The sequence below is a fragment of the Homo sapiens genome, chromosome 11 (assembly GCF_000001405.40).
Source record: "Homo sapiens chromosome 11, GRCh38.p14 Primary Assembly".
Taxonomy (NCBI): domain Eukaryota; kingdom Metazoa; phylum Chordata; class Mammalia; order Primates; family Hominidae; genus Homo; species Homo sapiens.
In genome coordinates, this window is record NC_000011.10 from 15,588,008 (window position 1) to 15,614,175 (window position 26,168).

General features: G+C 44.6%; 2 long non-coding RNA genes across 7 annotated transcripts in view, besides 1 other annotated feature; one reads left to right on the top strand and one right to left on the bottom strand.

The window, feature by feature from the left end:
- The window catches only part of LINC02751 (long intergenic non-protein coding RNA 2751), a 152,600-nt gene that overhangs the window by 35,235 nt on the left and 91,197 nt on the right, over window positions 1-26,168 (top strand). Inside the window, exons 4-5 of one of the 5 annotated variants that reach the window (NR_169506.1) lie at window positions 540-1,060; window positions 14,695-15,131. The exons of 2 other annotated variants lie outside the window; for them this stretch is intronic. This is a non-coding gene — a long non-coding RNA (long intergenic non-protein coding RNA 2751). Of the gene's footprint in view, window positions 1-539; window positions 1,061-14,694; window positions 15,132-15,924; window positions 16,163-26,168 lie in introns of those variants that run through there. 2 more of the 5 variants (NR_169504.1, NR_169505.1) reach the window with 2 other exon arrangements.
- The window catches only part of LOC105376568 (uncharacterized), a 51,914-nt gene that overhangs the window by 16,194 nt on the left and 9,552 nt on the right, over window positions 1-26,168 (bottom strand). The window contains exon 3 of one of the 2 annotated variants that reach the window (XR_931072.4): window positions 1,074-1,243. The exons of the other annotated variant lie outside the window; for it this stretch is intronic. This is a non-coding gene — a long non-coding RNA (uncharacterized LOC105376568). The remainder of the gene's footprint in view (window positions 1-1,073; window positions 1,244-26,168) is intronic. 2 annotated transcript variants of the gene reach the window in all.
- Window positions 939-1,440: an enhancer, noted in NCBI's record as "NANOG hESC enhancer chr11:15610492-15610993 (GRCh37/hg19 assembly coordinates)". NCBI's record gives its function as "activates a minimal SCP1, AML or CMV promoter by ChIP-STARR-seq in primed H9 embryonic stem cells {active_cell/tissue: H9 hESC(primed)}" and the evidence as "EXISTENCE:reporter gene assay evidence [ECO:0000049][PMID:30033119]".

Sequence of the window (26,168 nt, forward strand, 5' to 3'; positions counted from 1 at the left end):
TGGGAAGGTTGCATGAGGGATAGAAATGAAATGTGGAAGTTTAGCTGGCTCTTAAATGATGGGTAGAAATTAGAAAAGGGAATCAAATTTAGCATTTTAGGCATTGATAGATAATAATAACTAAAATTGAACAAACAATCATCTAAGACTTTTCAATATGTTAATAACATTTAATTATCACAGCAGTCCTCTAAAAGACATAATACTATTGGCCGGGCGCAGTGGCTCACGCCTGTAATCCCAACACTTTGGGAGGTTGAGGCGGGCAGATCACGAGGTCAGGAGATCAAGACCATCCTGGCTAACACAGTGAAACCCCGTCTCTACTAAAAATAAAAAAAATTAGCCGGGCATGGTGGCACGCGCCTGTAGTCCCAGCTGTCAGGAGACTGAGGCGGGAGAATCGCTTGAACACAGGAGGCGGAGGTTGCAATGAGCTGACATGGCACCACTGCACTCCAGCCTGGGTGACAGAGTGAGACTCCATCTCAAAAAAAAAAAAAAAAAAGAGGTATATTACTATTATTTCCATTTTACAGATGGAGAAACCAAGTCTTTGAAATCTTGAGAAACTTGCTCACAGTATATATAGATGTTAAGTGGCACGTTTGGTGAATGAATCCACGATGATGTTCCAAGCTTATGCTCAATATTTGAATGATACAGGGGACAAGTGAAGAGGAGGGAGGCAGGTCATATACCCTAGGCCGTAAAGGAGGGGAGTGGAATCAAGGAAGATGCAGCAGAAAAGAAGACTTTGAAAGCACTTAAAAGAAGACTTTGAAGGATCTTAGGGAGCTTGGATGGTGGAACCATGAGAAGAGCACAGAGAAGTTGGTGAGGATAATTCCCCCCCTTCTCCATATTCTAGAGCTGACAACTCCAGCTTGTGTCAGGGTAATCAAAAGAAGAGACAATTTATTGCAGCTCCTACCATGTGCCAAGCAGGCACCTACCTAATACCCTAGGGGCATTAACTCTTTTAACCCTTGCAACAGCCCTGTGAGGTAGCTACAGTTACAAGCCCCAGTTTAGAGGAAGAAACTGAGGAACATAAAAGGTAAGTAGCTTACCCAAGGTCTTCAAGCCAATTGAGCGCGTATCCAGCTCCAGGGTTTGTGGCATGAGCACGCTATAAACTTCCTGGGCAGGCTGAGGAAGTGAAAGGGACATGATCTTGGGTCTAAATTCAAGCTTCATTACTTTCTCCATGGGGGTCCTCTTTGAGTCTCAATTTCCTTATCTGCAAAGCAGGGATGATACCATCTGTCAAGGGTTTATGTGAGGATTACGTGAGATGACTAAAGGAAACGCCAATCACGGCGGATTTGAGGTAAAAGGCCTCCCAGCCTTCAATTCCTTCCTCTTACTCCCCAGATGGTCTCCTCCCTGCGGAATCTTTGGATTTCAAGTCTCCTTTCCCAGAAAGGAAACACCTTTCTTTCTGGGACTGTTGATATAGAGCTATGTGAGGCATTCCAACCTAAATTTCTCTTCCCCAAACAGGCCTGATTGACATTTTCTTTCCCCACTCAGCTCAAAGACACTCAGAGCATTGAGCAAACATCTGGGATTTTTGCATGTTGCCATGTCTTTTAAAGAACATCCCTAAAATGTACTGGAGACTCCAAGGCTTAAAATAGGTCCCTGCAAATTCACCCATGCCTATAATTGAATAGCAGTTGGAGAGAAAAATAGCTTCAATAATGTTGCATTTTAAAATTATGGTACATATTAATTGCGCCCGAGTCTCCATTTTCATTTAAGAAAGTGGTCTCCTCATAAGTAAAGTGGGAAAGATACAAAAAAGAAAACCAAAAATAAGTCAGTTTTTTTTTCCCCCAAACCACTGAAGTGCAAGGCACAGTCTGTTTCCAGGCAGAATGTCTGAGGGAGGGACACTTCCCCTCTTTTGCCTAGGGAGATGAAGAGCTCTCATTGCAATTATTTTTATTTTGTGTAGAAATAAGACACAGAGAAAAAAAAAAAAGACCCTTCCAAGACCATAAATATAGCCAATTGTGCAATGAGACTCTCCGGCCCACTGATTTTAATTGTTCCAGTTCAGGTATCTCCTATTTTACAGATGAGGAAATTGAGGCTGAGGAAAGGAGTCACCCAGGATCCTCCTAACCATATAAACCTGAATTTGAGTTTGGGGGAATGAATGTGCCATGGGCCTGAAACTCTGCCTGTTGACCAAGGTCACTCTGGAAAATGGCCACAGGCTATCCTGAAGGCCACCTGTAGTCACCATCTGTTGCTAGTACTTAGGACTTCCCATTTCTCCTGCTTGTCTACAGTATGTTCACAGATATCTGGCTGACTGTCAAGTCCATGGTTAGACATGTGGGTAGCAGATGTGCACAGCATTGCATCCAGCTGTGCTTTTGCCAGCTGTAAGATACTGTATGCCAATTTCTTACCCATCAGACATCTGGAGAACAGGGCCCACACGAGAAGAAGCTCCTAGACATGGTGTCCCTCTGGGTGAGAGTCATAATGCCTTCAACACTCATCATGAGCCTAAGAAAAAGCTTGAAACAGAATTCTGGCCAACACATTCAGGAAATAATTATTGAGTGCTAACTCTGTGAGAGGCACCATCCTAGATGCTAGAGAACTGGTGGAAACAAGACAGAAGAAAGGACTTCACTATGGAGGAAGGGGGAAACTGTGATTCCCAAAGCAGTCAGGATGATCCTTTAGAAAACTCAAGAGAGTCATGGAATTGCTCATTCAAAGTAAAAGCCACAGTCTCTACCATGGCTTTACATGAACTGCCTTCCTCTTCCTTTTTAATCTCAACTCTTAACACTCTTCCTCTTGCCCTACCCACTCCAGCCACACTGGCCGTTTTGCATTCCTGGAACACACTAAGCATGTTTCTACCTCAGGGCCTTTGCACTTGCTATTTTTCTTTACTGTTGGGCACACTACAGGGATTCGTAGTTCTTGTTTCCCTTTCTTTTCCTATTGTTCCCTTCTCTTCCTACCCCCACCAAATATTTTAAAAATTCAGAAGCTAGTCATCACAGGCGGTTAAAGAAGAAACCATGTTCTTCCACAGATTGTCCTGGAATGCCCCACCAGCATCAATGACTTGGTTCTCTTCCCTGGCCCTGAAGGAGTGGGCCACTTTCCAGACACGTCCCAGGCAGCAGTCCTGCTCCGTGACACTGTCAAGAAGAGAGGAGCCTCAGGAAAAGTCACAGACATAAACAAGATAAAGCCTGTGACCTTCTAGGACACTTTGGCCTGTGGACCACAGAACTGTCAATGGCCCAGCCCTTGCTCTGATAAGGGAGGGCAGGAACATTCCAGGAGATGCATTTGTCTCAAGCCCTCAAAGGCTGAGCATCCCCGAGAATCTGGCAGAGAGAGAGAGGACGGGGGAGGCTGGTGGGAGGATCTCTCCAGGGCGTGGAGCCAGCCCCACTGCCCTTGCTATCCCTTCAGCCCAGATATGGGGCAAGAAATTCAGGCCAACTCAGCAAACATGTACCTGGCAGCTCCTTCCTGCCTGGCACTGCTAGGGGCAGAGTGCTGGAGGAGATGGGAGGGCAAGGATCCCAGGTTGCAGGGGCTCAGAAAGGTGGAGGGAGATGTGGATATCAATTGCCTGCATGGAAAATGAGGGGACAAAGGACAGGCTTTAGTGCTCTGAGGAAGGAGGCAGTCATTCTGTCTGAGGTTGTGGGAGTCTAGGAATATTTATTTCCTAGAGAACGAGGCCCCTAAGTAGGCCGTAAAGTTAACCATGACTTTGACAGGTGGAGGGGTCAGAGGAGAGCATTCCTGGCACAGATTGGTATGTTCAAAAGCATGGAGGAAGACAATTGCAGATGTGTTTCAGTTCATGCAAAGGCCCCTGGAAGGTTGCAATGGAAGATGAAGCTAGAAAGATCAGGGCTGCAGTAGGAGGGGCCTTGACTCCCTGGGAAAGGGTGTGAAACTATCCTATAGGAATAGGAGCCAGGGCTGCCTCTCCGGTAGGGCAGAAACAGTACCAGCTGGGCTTCACATGGAGGAAGGAGGGGTGGAAGGGGAGCAGACAGGGCCAGTGGAGGGGATGTAATATTCCAAGTTAGAGGTGGTGAGGCCTGAATTCCGGTAGCAGCCATGGGATTTCTGGAAAAAGTTGCAGATTGTTTTCTTGCTCCTCTTTTAAGACAGTTATTAGCAGCTGTGGGGCCACCTGAGTGTGTACTGAGCACTTGGGAAACAGGTCCTGAACCAGAAAGAGTGTCCAGGTACAAGTCTACATCCCATACCTTGTCAGGCAGAAGTTAGTAGGAAACCCTGCAGCCCAGCCAGATAAAGGCGTGGCTTCCAGAATGCCCTGGAACTGCCTGGGTGATCCTTTTAAAACATGAATATAAACATGTCTTCATCCTCCTTAAAACCCTTCGCTGTTTCCACGTCACTCTCAGAATGAAGTCCAAGCTCTTTGGCTTGGTGTTTAAAGCTTCATCAAGCCTGTGCTTATACCTCTGTCATCCCATCTCTGTAGTGTAGGGCAGGGATCCAAACACTTGTCTGCATGTTCAAATTCACCTGGAGATCTTTTAGAATGTCTAAAGCACAGCCCAGCACCCAGACCAATTAAACCACAATTTCTGGGATGGGACCTAGTTGCTCAGGTGACCCCAGAGAAGCTAGAAACCCAGGTATAGGGCCTACATCCTAAGCTCCAGTCATACCAGATGTATTAGCTAGCTGTTTCCATCACAGACCACTTCAAATTCGTGGTGGCTTACAAAAAATATTGATTACCATGCTCACAGAAATGCAGATCATCTGTGATTTGGCAGGTAAATGCTGGTGGCAGTTCTGCTTCAGGCTTCGGGGTCAGCTGGGGTTGACTCTAGGCTGACTCTAGACATTGCATTCTAGACATTGCATTGAGGGAATTCTACAGATCTCTCATATTTCTGGGAGCTACATCTTTCCCTGCAGCAAATTTTCAAGGTATTGATAGAAGTGCACGTGCCCCTTAAGATCTTAGATTTTAGCTGGCAACCCCTCACTTAACTCACATCCCATTGGTCAAAACAAGTCCCATGGTCAAGGCCAACAATGATGGGGCAGGAAAACAGACTCTGCTCACTCTCCTGTTCTGCAAGTCACATGGCAGGAAGGAGTGAGGAACTAGAATAATCCACTCCATCTCACAGGTAATCTTGTGACCTTGAATGGGTCGCGTCTATGAACCCCAGTTTCCTTACCTGGAGAATGAGATAGTTGCCCTGGATGCCCACTTACATGACCGCCCCTCCCAGCTCTTCTCATCCACAAAGACCTTTGCACATGTATGCACAGCCACCCACTTGTGCCCATACTACACATTTAAATCATGACTATTATTTTTAAATACTTGTTGATTTTCAAAATGCTTCACATACTCACACAGGCCATATACTCATCTGCAGATACAGATCCTTGCATTCTCAGTCCTACACATACATATATACTTACTTTTCAAACACACACGTTTATGTGCACATGTTCCCACATTTATACAAATGCACACAGAGGCACCTATGTGCCGGTGTGCACTCGCTCAGCCATACTCACACATGCCACATGGATTCTCAGACATGTTTAGTTACAAACAGTCTCCCCCACCCTTCTCACCCTCACACACTGGCTCACTCACACATATATTCTATACCTCTCCGCACAGCTGTTTAATCAGAATCAGGGCCTGCTGATGAGGCTGTTGTCTGGCGCTCAGGGAGCTGCTTTAACTCTTTGCTGCCCCCATAAAGGCTGGCTGTACTATGTGCCCTCCATCTGCAGACCCCGGGGAACAAAAAGGCCACAGAAGAGTCAGGCGGAGATGCTTAATCTGCAGGATTGGAGCTCATCTGGTGCCACAGGGCCAGGGAGAGGGTGCAGAAGACACAGGGACAGACAGCACTCTGGACCCTCTGAATTCACTCTGTGCTTTCTCCTCCTGGCTGCATCTCCCTCATGTCCCAGGTATCTTCAGTAGGATAACCAAAAAAAAAAAAAAAAAAAGAATCATCCAAACCAAGACAGTGTTGAGAGCGAAAGGGACACTAACAACAATTACACTGAATTACCTGAGATTGTCACAGGCAAGCAGCAAATGCCTGGTCCCTACTCATGAGAGACCAGATATTGTGGACTTGCCCTGAGCTCCTGTTTCAGCCCAACTCAAGGACAGTCCCGGTTGAAAGGAACTTTCAGGTAGAATTCCCTCATTTTGCAGTTGAAGGCCCAGAGAGAAGCTGGGACTTGCCTGAGGTGACACAACAAGTTAGTAACAAAACAGTGTATAGAACTAAGTTTTTCAATCTTCCAGGCTAGAGTTCTCCGTGGTCTTAGGTGCAGCTCCTGGGAAACTGGCTGAAACTGTGGGATTAGCATGCAAGGGTTCACTGAGGAGTACTTGAGGAAAGAAAGCAGGACAGAGCAGAGGGACAGCAGCCTCAGCAGAGGTCATGGGGAGCTCTGGAGCTGAGAGGGTTCTTCAAGGTTGTCCCAAATGAATCTATGGGCCGAGGCTTTGTGCCTCCAGCGAGAGGACGTGATGTTGGGTGGGGCAGTACCCTGCAGCTGAGAGCAACCCCCAGGGAGGGATGCAACAGCCTGTCAACTAAGGGAGACAGTGCCTTGGTCCTCCAGGGGAGGTGGGCAGCACACCATGGCATCCACCACATCCTGCTGTTAGCTTGTGTTAAACAAGCTACCTGCAGCCCCAGCCCCCCAGAGGCCTGTTTGTACCTGGGCAGCAGTTGTATTGGCATTCATTTCACTGGCTCCACAGGGGGTCCTGGAAGGAAATTGCTGGGGAGGAGGCCACCTGGCTGAGGCTGCTCCTGAGACTGACCAGTGCGTTCCTTGTGGAGCCCGAGCTTCCTGCCAGCCCCAGCACGGCCATCTCTGCAGCTTTGCAGCTGCATTCTTCACACCCATCAGAAGTCACTGTTGCTTACTTTATTTTTCCACTTCTTCGATCCTTCTACATGTGGTCCAAGGGAGTTTCCTGTCTAACTCAGCCAGGGAACAGGGGCAGCTAGCAGAGAGCCAAAAGGGGGCACCTGGGCATGAGTTAAGAGGGCATCTGTGGCAAGCCCATTACACAGCTAAAGAGAACAATCTCAATGAGAAGACTCAGGCTTCTTTATGAAGGAGGGACACATTTCCCATGGGCTGTGGAGTCCAGCAATCCTGACTTCCAGTCTTAGCTCTGCTGCCTACCTACGGAGGCACTTTACACACACTTCCAGGCGTGAAAAAAAAAAAATTTCAGCAAATTAAATTTAACAAAGTTTAGTTGAGCCAAGAACTATTCGCAAATCGAGCCCCCTCAGAACCAGGAAACGGAACGGAAGTGAGGCACAGCAACAGCTTCACTGGTTACAGCTCAGCATTGGCCGTATTTGGATGTGGTGTGATGAGTTGACTGCCCGTGATTGGCTGAACCTCAGCATCTTGTTATTGGCTGAGACACAACTACTTGTCACAAAAAATGCATACTCCTAAATTAGGCTTTTATTCTGTTTACGTACTAAGTAAGGTGCAGTTTGTTATGTAAATACTCAAGGTACTGAGGCATCTTCAGGCCAACTTTAGTTAAATTTAACACAAGCTACCTAGAACTTAGGGATGGCTCTCTATATACAGTAGAGCATTGTAAGAATGTAATGAGGTAACCTGGGAATAGGAAAGGGATCTGCAACGTGCCAGCACTCTGCTAAGCACGCAGCACCCACAGCCTCCCTTATCCCTATCACAAGCCTGCAAGGTGAGTACCCAGGATCCCATTTTACAGATAAACAAGCTTGCCCCAGGGCCCAGATCCAAGCTCAACCTGACATTGTATGATTGGTTGCCAGCATTCTCTGCAGATTAGTCTTGACAAGGGCCAGTTTCTTACTCCAGTAAAGCAGGAATTAAAAAGAAAATAAAAAAAGAAAACACTGGAGCAGTGCTTGACATTTCACTATGTTTCCATCATATTGGGTGAAGGCATCAAGAAGAGCAAAAATCCTCCTCCTTAAAAACTCAAGAATTTCAGTGCCAAAAAAATGACTGTGGAATTTTTCCATAAACACACACACACACACACACACACACACACACACACACACACACACACACACACACACACCGTGTTAGTTTTTTCCTGAGGATCCTGCAGAATTGCTTTTCACAAAAGACGGCTAACAGCACAGAGCTCTTCTGGAGAGCAGATTAAATGAATTGTCCAGTTTTGGGTGGAAGGCTGTCCAACTTTCCCAGTCATCAGTGGAATGCTGGCTGGGTTGATGTAGGGGTTACTTGGGGGTTATTGACAACTCCCCAAATGAGTCTAGCAAACTCGTTTGTGCCAGGCTTCAACTAGGGAGCTCACAGTCTCCTGGGGAAAATGGACATAAAAACAGGAAATTACAATATGTAAGTAATATTATAACAAGAAGTAATAGAATCAAATACAAAGTCCCCAGATAACTTGGAGGTGGTGTCAGCTCTGTCGTGGAGGCTCAAGGAAGATTTGCTGAAAGAAGTATCACAAATCCAGGTTTTGAAGGATGAACAGGAGTTTTTAGGAGCTACCACCTACTTTTAATGATTTTTCTATTTAGAGAGTGGAGAAAAGAAAGAAGAGGAAGGGTGCTTACATGTACTACATGCTATTTGCCAGACTGCATTCGACACTTTGCACGTTTGCACATTTAATTCTCACGATAACCTTGTCAGATGGGGTTTTCACAGGCAAGAAACTTAGGATCAAAAAGGGTAAGCTGAGCAATTTACTCAAGGTCACACAGCTACCAAGTGCTGGGGCCAGAAATCCATCCCAGTTCTTTTGGCTCCAAATCCCTGGCTCTTTCCCTGCTGCTGGCTTCTGTAGCCCATAGGAGCTGTACATTCATGGAGTTTATCTGTGGCATACTGTGCAGTTTTTGAGTTGGTTAGAATAATGTAAAATCATTAGGAACTGATTTAGCAACTGGTCATATCTACAGTCAACCCTACAAAATTCCCTCATCTGTTCACAGAAACTATAAGTCTTCAAAGTACTGTCCCATCTACCCATTCCTCAGCCCAGCCCTGCAACTTGAACAGGAAGGTCCATTGCCTGGTAAGTCAAGAGCAGAGCCAGGGGAACTAGAATCTTCAATTTCTTGGTTCCCACTGCAGGGCTCTATGAGTGACACTATGTTATACGTATCTTGTCCCTTTCATATCTCTGGTGCTGTAAGGAAGTACCTTCAGGTACTCCAGATCCTGGGTACCTTCTGTATCCTCCTTAACATAAAGTCACTTAACATAGGACTGAGATTGAGTGTATTTCTTTTCATAAAGAGGTGTGGCTTGAATTCCTGTGCTGACCACTCCTGACTTGTGTGACCTTGAGCCAAGTTACCTAACCCTTTAGACTTTAAATCATCTGAGAAATAGGGCCATAAGTTTGGAGAAGTCCTACCTTTGTACAAAATAACTGGGGCGATGTTTCGGCACTTACTGGGTACACAAAATACCTGGTACTTACTAGGTGCTCAGTAGATGTGAGTTTACTTTCCTTTATCCTTTGAAGAGCTGTACCTGTGTCCAGGGTTAACCTCACTCCATCAGGACCTAGACATCCCTACAAAATTAGGGATTTTACTTCCCTTTGTGGTAATTAACTATATATTGTACATTCTATATCCAAAGTCACAGAGCAGATCCACAGTTTTCAAACTGGGTTCGAAGAAGCCCTGAGGTCCTGCGAGGCGGTTCAAGGGTGATGGATGTCAGTGGTCAGGCCTTCAGACCACCCCCTCCCAATTCAACAAAGGCAGAATCTCTTTTATATCTTTTATATGTTGGGCTCTCAAGTAGAATTTCATTTTAAGAATGAAATTGAGTGTTGAAAATAGAAAATTGCAAACCTCTGTTGGAGAGTAATAGAAAGTTTAATGTGTGATCTTTGCATTGCAAACCAGGTTGCTTTCTCCCTTATGTCTCTTCCCTCCTCGTCTTTTTTTTTTTTTTTTTTTTTTTTGAGAAGGAGTCTTGCTCTGTCCAGCAGTGGTGCCATCTTGGCTCACTGCAACCTCCACCTCCCAGGTTCAAGCAATTCTCCTGCCTCAGCCTCCTGAGTAGCTGAGATTACAGGCACATGCCACCACCCTCAACTAATTCTTGTATTTTTAGTAGAGGTGGGGTTTCACCATGCTGGTCAGGCTGATCTCGAACTCCTGACCTTGTGATCTGCCTGCCTCGGCCTCCCGAAGTGCTGGGATTACAGACATGAGCCACCACGCCCAGCCCCTCCTGGTCTCCTTAATGACAAAAGCCCAGCTTCTACCCTGCTCACTGCCCCACCCCCAACATTCAGACCAGTCACAAGAAGGAAAACCAGTTAACAAGGACCTGGAGAAGCTACAACGTACTTGGACTTCCAGTCTTTAAATGGACCGTTTTTGTCTCAGCCTGGCTAGGAAGTCTTGGCTGATGTGGTCTAGAGACAGGAAAGCAAGGTAATTTGGGGCCTAAAATGACAAAATGAGGGCAGAGAAAAGTGTTGAAAATGAATGACTGCGGAAAGGAAAGAAATATTCTGACATGCTCCTCTTCCTATCTGACACCCAGTGAGATGGAGAACACGTTGACTTTGGAGCCAAGAAAGCTGAGTTCAAATTCTGAGCCTGCCCAATGTGTAACTATGTGATCTTGAACAAGCCATTAACTCCTTCCAGTCTTATTTCCTCATCTACAGAATGGGAATAGTATTGCTGTCACAGGACTAATATGAGTGTATATCACATGTATGTAAAAAGCATATGTGAGATATTGAATGAAAAACAATTGATGCCTGCTAGATGTCACTGAATAAACATCAGTCCCCCTTCTCCATCCAGCTACCATATTTTCCAGCCCATACATTGAGACACTGGGTTATGGTAAATATTGAATTAAATGATGTAAATCAATTCCTAATGCAACTCCTGGCACACAGTAGGTGTTTAATAAATGCTATCTTCTCCACAAGCTTCCCTCCTTCTGCACAACATATTTGCAGCAACTGCCATCCTGATCACCTCATGCTTGGGTTACTAACTCAGCCCCCCTAGTGGGGTCCCCTGTCCCAGAGCCCTGTTCCTGTCTCCCTGGCATGTGCAGTCACCCTAATCTTCCCCTAAACAAATGAACAAAGCAAGACAAATGGCAAAGCTCCACTAACAACAAGCTATTCAGTTCCAGCATTATCTGATTTAATTCTCCATTTTTGTTTCAGATCAATCTGTAAGATCAGTGTTAATAGCTCTCCCTACCCCTTGTAATGATAATCTCAGGCTCAAAGAAGTAAGCAATTTCAGCTCCTCACCTTTGTGGGGGCGTAGCTAAGGTGTGAGATCCCATCAGATCTGTCTGCAACCAAAGACTCTTCTGCAACATTAACTGTTCTCTGAAGTGGTCTGGCTGGGCACTGAGAGTGGAGAGACCTGGATTCTAGCGCTGGCTCACCATTGGTTCATGGCGCATGAGCCCATTTCCTCCTCTAAAAATGAGGAGAGTCCCTTCCTTTCTTACCCCATATGTCTGCACTCAGGTTTCAGGGCCAATTTCAGATGGGCCATATGCTCTCTGTCCTCTGTACCTTTGCCCAAGCTGTCGCCTGCTCCTCAGTCACCTCCCTCATTGCCCTGTGTCTACCTGTTTAAGAATTAAGCTCTAAGATTCTACTCTATCATCCCTCACCTCCTTCAGAAAGCCTTCCTAGACCAGCCCAGGCAGAATCAGGTGCTCCTCCTCTAGGCTTTCATAGCCCTGCATCTAAACCACAACTGTGACCTTTTTTTCCTGGTATATACCTTTGATTATAGGACTGTCTCCTAGTAGATAGACTGGGAGCTCTCGTTTATCTCATTTATCTTTATACCCATGTCTGTCACAGAATAATTGCTCAGATAATACTTGTGGAATGAATGCATTAATGAATGAATGAAGAGAGAGAGCAAGGGAGATCGAAAGAGCATCATTGAATGAGTTCAGGGTTTTGTTCGGTCCCAGCTTCAGAGTCCATTTCTTAAGAATAATTAATTCTTGCAGTTCTTCCACTGCTGACGTTGTGCCTCCATGGGGGTCAATGGCCCTATGCCCTAGCATCTTATCCCTATACCATGTAATCTGGGTCTGATGCTGGAATTTGGGCTTAGAGCTTGGCTCCAAGTCTCTGTGACAGGGCTCTGCCCTGCCTCCAGCCCCCATCCAGGACATGGGCCCTCTCTTACCCTGGCCAGCCTGTTTCAGGCCAAGGAACTCCATTCCTCTCCCCAGCTCCTGTTCTCTCCCTCTCACCTGCTTCCCTGGCTGGTGATAGGGCCTGCCTCCTGCCCATCAGGGCTTCTTAGATTACAACTATCAGCCTAATTTCCCCACTTCTGTGTCCCACCCACTTACTAGGTCAGCCTTCCCACTATAGTTGGGAGATGGTGACATCCTCATGTGTCAGGCTTTTCCTGATATCGGGAGCCCCTCATGTCAGCTCCTATCCCTGGGTCAGATGCCCTGACATATGCCCAGCCCTTCAGACAGCTCCAGGTCAGTGTCCAATCCCTTTCTGCCTGCCAGGGAGCATCTGGACATGCCTAGCCAAATCCTGAGATGGGCTGGGAGGAGGCAGTCAGCCCTGGAGATCATTTCCAGTGAAGGCCCAGCCTGCAGGTGGGCACACATGGTGGGTGTTCAGGTTTGAGGAGGCCTTGGAAAATGAAAGATCGCATGTGGTGCAAACCTCAGGCTATGTGCCTTTGGACAACTCATTTTATCCCTCTGTGCCAAAGAGTTTTTGTTTGCAAATTGGAGATAAGAACACATAATAGCTACCTCAGAGGACTGTTGTGAAGAATAAATAGGATAATGCATATCAACCTCAAGGCCTGGTACATGATGAGCCCTCAGTAAACGTGAGCCCTTTTCCATGTCACTATAGCTGTTGTCATTATTGCTCTTGTTGCTGCTATTGTCATTAAGAAGAGTGGGCTGCATCCTCAGGTACATCTCCTGTGCTGTTTCTTTTCCTCAAACCACTCATTAATATTCTGAAGACTAAGTCAGGGAGGCAGTAGCAACACACCAGGCTTAAAATTAATCAAGTTCCCTTCAGTCCAAATGAACTTTTCTCACCGATTCTCAGATCTTCGGCATCTTGCTACTGGGTGCATTTTTTCTACATAATGAAGTTTGGGCAGTGCTGGCTCCTGCCTAGTCCCTGACTGTGACCTCCATGCAGTCACAGCTGTTCTCAGGCGCTGCGCTTCAAGTTCCCCACCCCACATCGTCTGGCTGCCTTCTCATCTGGGGTGATGCGACCCCAGCAGATTAATATGATGTCCTTGTAATTCTGCATCCAAGACACATGTCACTTTCCTTCAACACATTTGGAAGGAGGGCAAGTTCTACTTTGTAAGGACCGTCACTTATTTTGAACTGGAAGAAAATAATTTATTTGGTCAAAAGTTGTTGTGCTTTTCCATTAAGGGCACATATTACCCTTTTGTAATTGGAAATGGGGCCATTTAGATCCCACATCGTCTAATCTCCAAAGTCACTCCAGCACAGGGCTTTCTTCCTCATTTGATTTCAATCAATCAGTGAATCCAACAACGAAGAAAATGCATTCAAAAATTAACCATACCAAGTGAAAGCAGAGGAACGTATGTTAGCAGGAGTCTCCCAACTCAGGTGTTTCTGTAAGAACCATTAAAATACCCCTTATCTGAGTGGAAATTCATTTCTTTCTACTATAGGAAGACTCCAAGACACTCACTCTAAGACTTGGGCCTGGATCTATGTGCAGAAACCCTGCTGAACTTTGCAGTGTCACCCGCCACCCAACTAAGAGGGTCTCCCAGGATTGTTTTCTAGTTCCCAGTCTGGGCTGTCTGACATGGCACCCCAACCTGGGTACACATCTTAGAGGCTCGGCTTTTTGTCAGTGGCAAACTGGAAATTTCACCACTTAAATGGAACCACGAAATCTTAGGCCTTGGGAGAGTATGTCTGCAGGGCCATCTTGGTGTGCACCTCTCACTGACCATTTTCAACAGATGCCAGATTCTTGGATCTGGGAGGGTGGCCCTAGTCCCCATCTTCAGGCTGTGTTAAATGGTGAGCTTGAAGGCCAAAGAAAACTGCTTCAGACTTTGATACCTTATCAGTATGACTCAGGGAAGAGAGAGGTTAAGTAACTTGCTCAGAATCACACAGGTAGTAACTAGCAAAATTGGACTTTGAATCCAGGTTTGCATGACTTTATATTATGCTTTTCTGCAATGCTGCTGCCTGGAAGGCAGGCTTAGTGCTGCTGAGATCCTGGTAGATATCTGCTTTCCCCAAAGCGGTGAACTTTGCAGGCTACCGCCAGATCTATGCCATCTGCTCACTTCCGAGGGGCTTCTTCAAATCCCACCAGGTGACCTTAATGTCCCAAAATATTCTTGACACTGAAGCACTCACTTGCAAAGAAAAGCTGGACCCCAACCCCTGTATTGGACAGACCCTACAGGAAGTTTCCTTAATAGCCTAAGGAGCAGAGACAGAAAATGAAAAATCACTAAGGTAGTGGTAGGCTTACATCCCAGGGAGGGAGTGCCATGGCGCACACCTCCTGCATGGGCTAGGGTTCGCATTTGTGTTTAATAACAACTTTGATCTCTCTGCCAGCAGCAGCGGTCATTGAGAAATCCTGACATAAAGAAGGTATCTGGGAGATAAAGTTCTGCAAGCGATGATTACTAGCACTTAAGTTCTCTTTTTGTTGAAAGGAAGAATCCCAGATTGAACAGTGCATTGAATGATATGACAAGCAAGTACTTGATCCCTGTCCAGCTGGAGGGGGGATTGTACCCATCAGCAGCTTTTTAGCTAAGGACGTCTTTATATTTCCCTTCTTTGTCTGGGCCTCTCTAGTTCCTCCTTTTACTTCATGTCAGCACTATATAGTAGGTATGCCAAGTGGTTTTGAAATTTAAATTACAGTCTCTTTTTCAGATGTTATTGGAAAGAACATGTAATTTATAACCACGTGTTAGGAGTACAGGATGTTCATGGTCCACTGCCAATTTTTCTTTTGTAAAGTTAATAAAACTTTCATAAAACACTTATACACTTGTATATTTCATGGTAAAGATTTTTTTTATCTCATAGGCTAATGTAAAGATTTATTAAAACCATTTTTTTGTTAAGAGGAGTGTCAATAGTTTGCAGCTGAGTGTAATTTTGAATCCGTGGAAGATGACGGTCTGATGGAAAATGACAGTAACAGCTTTGTTGATTTAGCACTAAAAATAAAGGAGCCTTTCAAATGAGAGAATGCTCTAATATCCAGAGTGGGCTAGGACGCACTCAGGCCAATGGAGGCAAGCTGGAGGAGCCGGCCACCAGCACTCCAGCCCCTGGCAAGAGCAGAGCAGGATTGGATGGAGCCCAGGTGGGAGGGTGAGCAGAGCCCCAGGGGTTAGTGGGAAGGAAGGCTCTTCTTGCAGGGGAGGGAGGGAGGGGCCAGGAGTAGTGTCTGAGTTTACTTCTTGTGGCAGAAAACCCTGGAATCTGCCTGCCCCCACAGACACTCCTAGCCCTTTCTAGGCTTTGGTGGATTCAGTTTTTGCTGAATATAATGAGCGGGTAAGATCTGTCACACCTCCTTTGCCCCACTCTCTGTCACCTTTACCAATCCACATCTACCCCAAACTGGTTCCCATTGAAGAATACTTTCAAGGAAACTCACTTAACTTTTTTTCTGAGTGTAAACCCCAGCTTTTTTTTTTTTTTTTTTTTTTTTTTTTGTAGCTGTTAATTGGTGTGCTCCCCTGTGTAGAGGTGAGGAGTAGATGGGTTATGGATTCCATGATTTGGAGAAGTAAATAGACCTTTTTGAGCTTCTGTTTTCTTCTCCAGGAAATGCAGATGATAACTCCTGCCTCCAGACCCCTCTCTGAGATGATTCTGAGACACATATAAATGGGCTTTGCAAACTGTGGGCAGTAGATGTGAGAACTCTTCATCTTCCAGACAGGATCCAAGGTCCTTTGGAAGGGACAGTGAGCGGACTGCATCCTGCTTGCATGAAGACCCTGATTCCCTCAAATGTTGAAAGAGGTTGAATTTACAAATAAATTAAGAAATTAAGAGCAAATGAAGAGGAAGGAATGGTTATTAACCGTGTGCCATAGATCTTTGCATTAGTAAGCCTTATGGTCCTTGTTTAATAGATGATGAAACTGGGACTAAGAGAAGTGAAGTAATCAACTCAAGATCACAAAATGAACGGGACAACCAGGTTTCAAACTTAGGTTTATTCTGACACCAAAGCTTCCATATTTTTTTCCATTCTAGAATGTTAGAAGCAGTGGACACTCTGGAGTGTTCCCACATGCTAAGCACTACGCTCGGTGCTCTATAAGCATTCTCTCTCTCAATCCTCACGCCACACCTGGGCAATCACGATTACCTTCATGCAAGGTGAGAAGTGCTGAAAGTTATAATTCCTTGCAGGGGAGGGATTGAATGTGCTTCCCGTGGAAGGCTGTGGTCTAGCAGTGCCTTTGGTTGGAGGGAGCAGGAAGCTTCAAGCTCTGCCTGGGGCCACTTCTCCCGCAGTTGAGAATTAAGGGTTAGCACCTGGAATTTGACTTAGAAATGGGATTGGTAATTGTCTCATTCCTCTTTACAGGGGTCATCCCCATCTACCTCACTCTGCCCTCTACTCCAGCCCTGCTCTCTTTGGCCCCTCTTTCAGTTGTTCTTTCTTCTCTCCATCTGCCATTCTCTTCTACATTCCTTTTTCAACCAAGTAGTCACTCTTTATCGCAGCATTTCTCCTAGTGACCCTCCCTGGTGCCACTGAGGTGAGGGCCAGCCACATGCCTGGCTTAGGGTCACTGTTTTCTTTGTAGGCATCCTCTCCAGCACCTCCCTCCACCCACTTTCTGGCTAACTCCTATTCTTCGCTGAGGTTTCTGCTTAAATGTTACTTCTTCAGACCATGCCTGACACATCTGACTGGATCAGGCCATCTGCGTGTACACTCTCTAATCATTTTGCATTTCCCCATTACTTTTCACAATTATAATTAAGTGATTGTTTGTAAAACTTATTTGTTTGCTATCTATGTTTCCTGCTAGACTACAAGCTCCAGGAGGGGAGGAGCCACATCTGCCTTACTCATTGCTGCATCTTCCATTCCCAGTAGAGCTCAGGGTCAGTCCTCTCAACCTCACACCATGGCAGTGTTCCTCCCCTTCTAGGCAAAAGGCCAGACAGCCTCCTGACTTCACACCCTAGTCCCATTTGTAATTGTGCCAAGTATCACCAAGTGTCATACAAGTGTCACAGAGTCTAGTTAGGAGAGATTCTGGTGGCAGCCTTCCCCTTTGCCCTTTGGAGAGTGAAGTTGCACATTCCCACCTTGTGAGAGGTGAAGAAAGAGCCAACAGCCTAGCCTGCTTCTACGTCTCGACAACTCTGAGATATGGAGGCATAGGAAGCTCTGGGATCCTGGAAGAAAATGTAAAAGAGAAATTGGGACCCCAGGACAAGAAGTCCAAGAGAAATGGCAGAAGACTCCTACGCAATCTCTGTCACCACCGTAGGGGCAAAGGCAGAGCAATTGGGACCAATGACCCCAACTAGGAACATAGCCTGGAGTGAGTGAGTATGTGAGTGTGTGTGTGTATAAGTACATATGTCTCCTTTTCATCGGGTCTGGGAGAGGGCTGTGGTCCAACTGAGCAAGCCATTTCCAAATATGCAGGTTTGTTCATTGCTGTTGCTGTTGCATTTTTAACTATTGTTGCTTTTGTAGCTACTGTTGTTTTTAGATGAAGCAACTGTGGTTCAGCAGAAGTTGCTGCCTCTGGAGTCAGAGGGTGCAGGCTTGGGTGCTGAGCACCAGGGGCTGGAGCCCAGGCTATTCACTGAGCCTCCCGAGTGGTGGACAGAGCTCAACCAGGCTGAGGCCCCTTAAGTGGGATCATCTGGCTCCTCCCAGTTTTGCCTATTCAGGAGAATGTGGGCAGGGCTTGAGGATTCACCCATTATCCAGCTATCTAGCTTGAGACAATTCTGCAGAGGGGTTAAGAGTTCAGGTTCTGCAGCCAGAGCCTCAGCTTATTAACTTTGTCATCTTGGGGAAATTATTTCATATCTCTACATCTCAGTTAAAATTATAAGCACAGCCTGTTTCATGGGCATGTGACCTGTGTGTTCCCCCAGGGCTCCATCCTCATAAAGGCCCTGCAGTTGGTTTAACACTCTGTTCTTACCGTCTTGAAATTCCCAATTATATTTTTTTAAGTAGCTCTGTATTTTCATTTTGCACTGGACCTTGCAAATTAAGTAGCTGCTTCTTATTATCAAATACCAAATAAATATTTATTAGCAGAACATCTACTCAGGGAGAAAACAGTGAGATAAGGCAGGTCTGTACTTGGCACACATTCAAGGCCTGACATTAAGGGACATTATTATTATTGCCTCTTGGGTTACCTACCAAGAACTAGACACCTCCCCAGCATTCCAGCAGCTAGTTGGTTAGAAAGGACAGTACTAGTCTTCGACGACAAAAACAAGGCCCCTTAATGCTTGAGTAAGACTTAGACTGAATAAAGAATCAAGATCTTGGATGACTTCACGGCACATTTTTCCAGAAAGCCTATGGGGTGTGAAGTAGGATCTACATGTGGTAGGCTGCAGAGAGGTGACCAGGGGTGACTGGCTGCCCTACAGTCAAGTTCACCTTCTCCTCTCCTGGGTAACCCAATAGCAATGCCACTCTGCTATCCCAAAGAGTTTACCATTTCTGATGCTGGTCTGATTTGGTCAGGCCAGTTGCTCATTAGTGGTCTCCCATGTTCCAACCAGTGACTAGTTAAGCTTCCAAGCTAGGCACATGCAAGGTAACAGACACAGGCGACAGAAAAGTTGGCTGCACTCTTCATTCACCTGATGAATACACTAGATTGGCTCTATCTCTGTCCAGACCTCTTCGATCACCTCTGGCCCTTCTAACACGTATAGCCATGGCCAGTGCTGACACCTTCCTTCGCTCTCCCCATCTCTCCTCAACTCATTCCTTCACCTCTGTCTTCATCCAAGTGCTGGAATACCTTTGTCCATCTGGTTATAAAAATATTATCACCATCCCATTCCTTTAACGTGTCCTCTAGAGAACAAAACCCCCTTGCTAAAAAGAAGCATTTTCTATTATATTTGACCAAAATCTATTTTTGAACATTTATTTGCAATAGCTGGCAGCATAGTGCAGCCCCTAAAACTTCTCATAACTCCAGATATTAGGTAATGGGGGATGGGCCAGGAGAAGCAGGAGGTCTCCTTAACCCTGGGGTATCTGAGGAGCCAGGGAGGCATAGCAGGTATTCGCAAAGTGAAGCTTTGAAATAGTGTCTCTGAAATTCAGCCCAGTGCTCTTTCTTCCTGCTGTGTAATGTTGTCTCTATTGAAAGATTCTCTTTCCCCAAACATAGAGTACAATAATCCCATTGAATGCATTGCCAATGATAAACTATGTATGGACAAATAACAACAGTGACAAAACCGCGTATAGAGACAAGGCAGTCTGTGTCGGGGAAGAAAGAAAAAAAATAAATGAAATTAACAGTGGGAGACAAAAACAGAGGAAAACCCAGCAATTAGATTAATCATAGACTTCCAGGAAATTGGCCCAAATTTCTTTAAAATCTTGTTGATTGTTATTCAGATTGAAGGGTTCCCTGCAAGATTAGCCAGAGCCCACTAAGCTTGCATACCAATCTGCTACATCCTGCATGCAAGCTGCTCAGATCCCAGGGCTGTGCTCCCGCTACAGTGGATCACCTGTGTAGCGGTGAGGTCCAGTAGACAGAGCCCAGGACTGGGGGTCAGGGAGTGGCATTTCTAGTCCAGCCTCTCAGCCAACTCACTTTGGGACTTTGAACAAATCATGTAACTTTCTGGACCTCAGTTTCCTCATCTGTTAAATAGGCAATTCTGCCAGCCTTTCTTAAGTCAGTGGGTTTTGAAAGGTTGAAGAGAAAATACAGATGTGGAAATCCTTGGACAGGCTGAAAATGCGATGCAAGCACAACATAACTTTTTGAGTATTTTCAGGGTCAGAAACGAAGTAGGCTATTGCTCAAGGTTCACATATCCCCGCTCCGAACACCGGAGTAGAGAAAATGCAGTGGAGCGCTAGTCATTGCTTACAAAAATGTTTCAAAGCCTTCAGATTCAGAAAAAAGTTCAGTACATCTTTACCCAAATATTCCTCCCTCTTTTATGATCTGCATTTAAAAGAAAATTGAATGACCTATCTCTGGATTTATTAATGCTTAAATCATTAGTATCTTGGCTTCAGAATGCTCCTGGGTTGCCAGCAGGATGTCAGAGCTTTCAAATGCCTGGAAGTTGCCCCTCACCCAGGGTGAAATAATCCAAGCATAAAATGGTTTGGGTTTGGTTTGAAGGATTGAATGCCTGAGTTCCTCTTAGAACTGAACTTTTCAAATATGACCATTTTTGGCTCAAGGTTAAACAAAGTTACTGGCTGACTACTAGGTGCTAGGCTCTATGCTAAGAGCTTTACATGCATTTTTTAACTTAATCCCTACAACAACCTAGTGTGGGAAGTTCTATTAACGTTCCTATTTTAGGGATGTAAAAAGCAGGACCCCCCCTTCAAGTATTATGGAAAAGATTTTGACCAATTTTTCTCTTGGCTTCTGTCTTTGAATCTGTGAATCATATGAAAAGAATAAATCATCAGAGAGCCGAAGTAAGCCACAACAACCATCTAGTATTACATTTCCCAAAATATGTCTCTGCTAGATTTGCTAGGTGTTAGCATTTGGGCATCAACTAAGCTTGAGGACAAGAATCAAGGAGGCTTCTTTGCTGCAAGACTTCTCAGGGCCTTTGAAATGGATGTTCATTGTGACTCTCAAACGAGAGGATGATGCAGGCAGCATTTTCCAAACTTAATTGGTGACAGATCTTTTTCTATAGGATCCTAATATTCTTCAGAAAATTATTTTAAAAAATTATTTTTTAAAAAATTCCATATTATATTATAAAGGAAGACACCAAGGCCCAGTCAGGGACAGTGGCTTGCTCCCAAGTCCCAGGATGTTAATAGCAGAGACAACAACCCAGTTGTGCTGAGTTCAGACCTAGGCCAGGTTCCATGTTTCACTACAACAAAGGAAGGTGTGGTAAGAGGGCCAGTGTGGGCTTTCCACAGATTCATGCCACAGGGACCACACCTGGGATCACAGATCACAAACCACACATTTGCAGAATCAAATGGTCATGGGTGCCTTAAGCTAGAAGAGAGGGTTTTATTTCAGTCAACTCTTTTATGCTTGAAGGAGCTGTATTAGTCAGGATTCTCCAAAGAAACAGAGCCAATAGGATGTGAAAGGAGAGAGAGAAAGTGATTTAAGGAATTGGCTTATGAGATTGTGGGGGCTGGCAAGTCCAAAATGTTCAGGGTAGACCAGCAGGCTGGAAACCTAGGGAAGAGTTGATATTGCAGTCTTGAGTCCAAGCAGTCTGGATACATAATTCCTTTTTCCTCAGGGGACCTCAGTTTGTTTTCTCTTAATGCCTTCAACTGATTGAACAAGGCCCTCCCATATCATAGAAGGTAATCTGCTTTACGCAAAGTCCATTGATTTAATGTTAATCTCATCTTTAAAATACCTTCACAAGAACATTCAGACTTGTGTTTGATCAAATATCTGGGTATTGTGGCCTAGCCAAGTCCACACATAAGATTAGCTATCCCTGGGTCCATGTTCCTTCCTTCCCTTAAAATGCTATTGACATTTCTCTACATTTTCATCCTCAGCCATAGAATGGGAGAAGTATGTCCAGAGATCACTCACTGCTCTGAGTTTCAGCCTGCACCTTCTGTGGTACCATGGAAGTGCCTTGTGAGTTCCCTCATCAGTGAATGAGGCTAGAGGCAGGGGCGAGGGAGGAGGGCTGAGCTGGATAGATTCAAAGTTCTACCACACTCCCCTCCTTCATCCAAAACAATTCAATTTCTCTCTGTTACATATGAGACTTCCCTTTAAACTGATGTTAAAATCTGCTGGAAATTCTCCTGATCTACACAAGAACACTAGCCCTTCCAACACTTTTCTACTCAAAGTGCATTCTCCGGACTGACAGCATCAGCACCACACAGGAACTGGTTAAAAACGCAGAATCTCAGGTCCCACTCTTGACATATTGAATCAGAGTCTGTATTTTCACAAGATCCTTAGATGATTAGTAAACATTTTCGAGACTGAGGAGCAGTGCTCTGGAGCTCAAGCTTCTAGAGCACTAACCAGCACATTGCCAGACACATCATAGAAAGTTAAGAATTGGTTTTTTTCCTGAATGATGGCTTGACTTAAAAAACTGAGGCCCAGAGGGAGAAAAGATGACACAATTAATTACGAGAGTATTAGTTAAATCTTATTAACAGAAAATAAGATTCTCTGATCATATATGTGTTCTTTGTACAAGAATATGCCTCTTTTCTGGAAAGCCCAAGTCATCATTGAAAATTCTTAAGTTTCCAGTCTGAGCATTTCAGAATTTAAGAAGTTCCACAGAACCATCTAAGTTATTTGTGTTTATAGGACAATTTCTTACAAGGAGTTTTGTTCAGCAAACAAAATCACTTCGCCAAAATGAGCAAGCTCCCTTGAGAGGTCCCGTTGGAGTGGATGAAAACTGAACTATGTGTTTACCTGAAGGTACATTCAAGCTGAAATAAAAATCTCCTCCTATGCAATCTAGGTTCATTTCAGCTGCCTTTTCTGAAAGGATTTGAAAAATTCTGAGCAAGTGATCAGTCAAGGAGTTAATTTGCTGTTGTGCTAAACTGCTAGCACTGAGGCTGTCATAGGAGAGAAAGAGAAGCAAGTGGAGAAATCTTTGATCCTCAGTTCAGCCAACTTCTTCCAGAAAGTGGAATGAGAGATCAAACATGAAGAGCAGTGTGGGCTCTGGGATCTGTCCAGAGCTATAGGAATCCAATATTACAATAATCATCCAACTTCGACAGAAGTCATCCCAGGAAGCTTGCCAAGAAAAAAGCTTGACGAGGAAGACGGCTGAAACAATGACAAACGAGGGAGAGGGAGTAAAGGTTGCAGACGTCCTTGGGTTGTCTTCATTGGAGAACTCCTTCTGTGCATCTCCTCCCTTATGCAGCCTTTCTCACAGAACCCAAAACAAACAAAGATGAAGCTGAATAATCATCTGCATTTCTGTACTCGCCTAAAAGTTCAAGGGTTCGGTCTTGGTTTTTCTGGGCTAAAGATTCACACAATCTCAGCCCAGCAGAGGAGCTTACTGTTCAAATAGCACTGTGTACCAAGGGTCTCACCAGCACTTCTGTTCAGATCCTGTGTGATATTCACCATAAAGGCCCTCACATCTGTGTAACACCTTGTTACAGAGTGTTACAAAGCACTGTCACATTCAATTCATTTGTCCCGAGGTGGGGTCTGTGTGCTCTGGGATGCAGGACTGATTGCTGGCTGCTTCCTCATCCCATTTTCTCTCCAAGAATCCTGGTCATAAGTGATGCACAGGACAACTTGACCAAAGTCCAGCAAATCCTACAAGTGTAGTCACTTGCAGCTACTTCAAATGCAAAATCTCATTACAGTAACTGGACTATAGCCCGTTACACTGATATTTGGCAGAAGGCTTGGCAGATAGTCAGAGCAGCACCCCTCATAATTTTCTGAGTGCCCAGACTATTACCACTTTACCTTGACTCGTGGCATGGAGCAGATACTATGTAAAAGCTGTACCTTAGGACATAATCTACTCACAGGCTTGGTCTTGAACCATGCCCTTCAGCTCACCTAGCTTTCAAATACCGTGGCCACCTGCTGCAACACTGATTTCCCCTTTCCTTCCTCCCTGAAAAATACTCCCCCTCACCCTGCCAAGATGTGCCTTTAGAATCCTGACCTCTTAACATCAACCACAACCTCACTACCCCGTACTTCAGTGTTATTGTCTTCTTATTCAACCTAGTCCAAAGGACACTGTGTACCAAAGGATAAGCAAATCAGTCTTTTGGGGAAAAAAAACAAAAATCTGAGAAAAGCTTCATAAATTCACACTGTGCTATAGTTCACTGCAGAGCCACCCAGTAAAGGATGCTGCAATCTGGAGAAGAGAAACTAGCAGAACCCAGTGGATTCTAGAGCTGTTGAGTGTGGTAGGGTACAGTTCACCCATCATCAAGTGAGTTGATAGAACTAATACTTATGGGTAATAAAACATAGTCCTTTCCCTCAAGAGGTTTAGAATTCATCGAGGAAGACAGACATGAAACATTCAATTACAATCCGGGGGGATGTTGTTGTGATCCAGATTTCCCAAATGCTATCGGAGGAAGTTACTGGTAACTGCTGCATCCAACAATTTCACGGGGGTGTATTCACATTAGGGATAGCTAAGAAAATCCACTGATCTGGAGAAGCTTTTGGCATTAATTCTATAGAAGCTGATCGTATTATTAATGTTTATAACACACGATTGCCTCTGACAAAGATTGAGATTTTATCCTTTCATAATGAGGCTTCTCAGCCCAGCAAGGGCCCCCAAGTCTCCCAAACCCAGGGTAGCTGCAGGGTGACTCATAGAAAGCAATAGTGGTCCAACATCTGAAGGAAGTGGTCTTTGCACCACAGGCACAGCTTGGAATTGATCTGATAATCAATCATCAAATCATTCCAAAAACAATACTGAGCAACTATTATTATCTGCTTAAATTAAATCATTCTTAATATATAGATGAGGTATAATTGTCCAATAGTTTTCTCACCCATGAAACAAGGATAATAATTCTGACCCTAGAGAATGAGTGTGAGGTTTAAATTAGACACTATAGGTAAAGTATCAATAGTTCTGTTATGTTTTAAGCCTTGTTTAAGGTTTCAGCCTGCCTTGAACAAGAGAAGGAAGAGAAAAATAAATTGCATTTGTTCTATCTAGCATTTTAAAACTCCAGATTATTTAGAGTGGATAGCCTGAAAGTGTTCAGAAGTCTTGCTAGAACCCTTTTAGAATAGCTAAAGACGTCAGAGATAGGGAAAACTTTCCTTTTGCACCAGGTGATGAGGGGCTAGATGTCTCAGAACTAAGGTGCAGGCCACTGGGTATCTATTCCATCTTTCCCTGCCCACCCTAATGAGAAGAGGACAACTCAGGGGTCTATTCAGAAGAGACAGAACTGATAGAAGGGGAACAGAATGTTCAGTTTATGAAAATTTTGCCTTCTGAGTCAAGTTTAAACTGGAGCTTTATCTGAGTCCCATGTCAAGAACCTCTTGAGATCCTATCTGTTAACAGTTTACATTTCACTTTAACTCCCTCCAGGGGGGTAGAGCCATAAATACTAGTGAGATGGTTTTGTATGATAGCCTGGAATTCTTATAATTATTATTGTTGGCAACAGTGTTTGGTTTCATGGCAGTAGGCTTTGCTGGTTGCCTGATATCAGTAGATAGAAAGACATCTTTAACTTCAACATGTTAATGTTATGATTATTTAGTTCTTTCTGCATATCGAGTGCAACCCATGCCTTAACAAACATCCCAGAAAGGAACTAGAGTTCCAGAAAGACAGCTTTGAATTAAAATCCTGTAGTTGCCACTCATAAGCCATGTAACCTTGGCCAGTCTATTTGGGCTTCTGTTTTATCTGTTGAATGAGAGGCAAAATTTCAGAAGGTTCTTCAAAGGTTTAAATGAGAAAATGTTTCTGGCACATTAGGGGACTAGAAATACATCTTATCCTTCCCATTGTCAAAAGCAGACACTCTGGGGTGAGTCTGGTTTATATCCCGGCTTCTTGACTATCTAAATATAGAATCTCAAATGTCTTTCCACTTTGTAAAACAGAATAACAATAGTATTTACTTCATGGGGTTGGCTAACCCCCATAAGATAAATTGGATGAATAAGTACAAGTTATTAATATATGTAAAGCACTTAGAATAGCACCTGGCATGTAGTAAGTTCTGTTGTAAGAGTTAGCTATTTTTATGATTTCTTTCCTTCCTCCTTCTCTCTCTCTCTAGTTTCTTCTCTTCCACTGCACTAATATGACAGAAGAGCTCTTCCTGA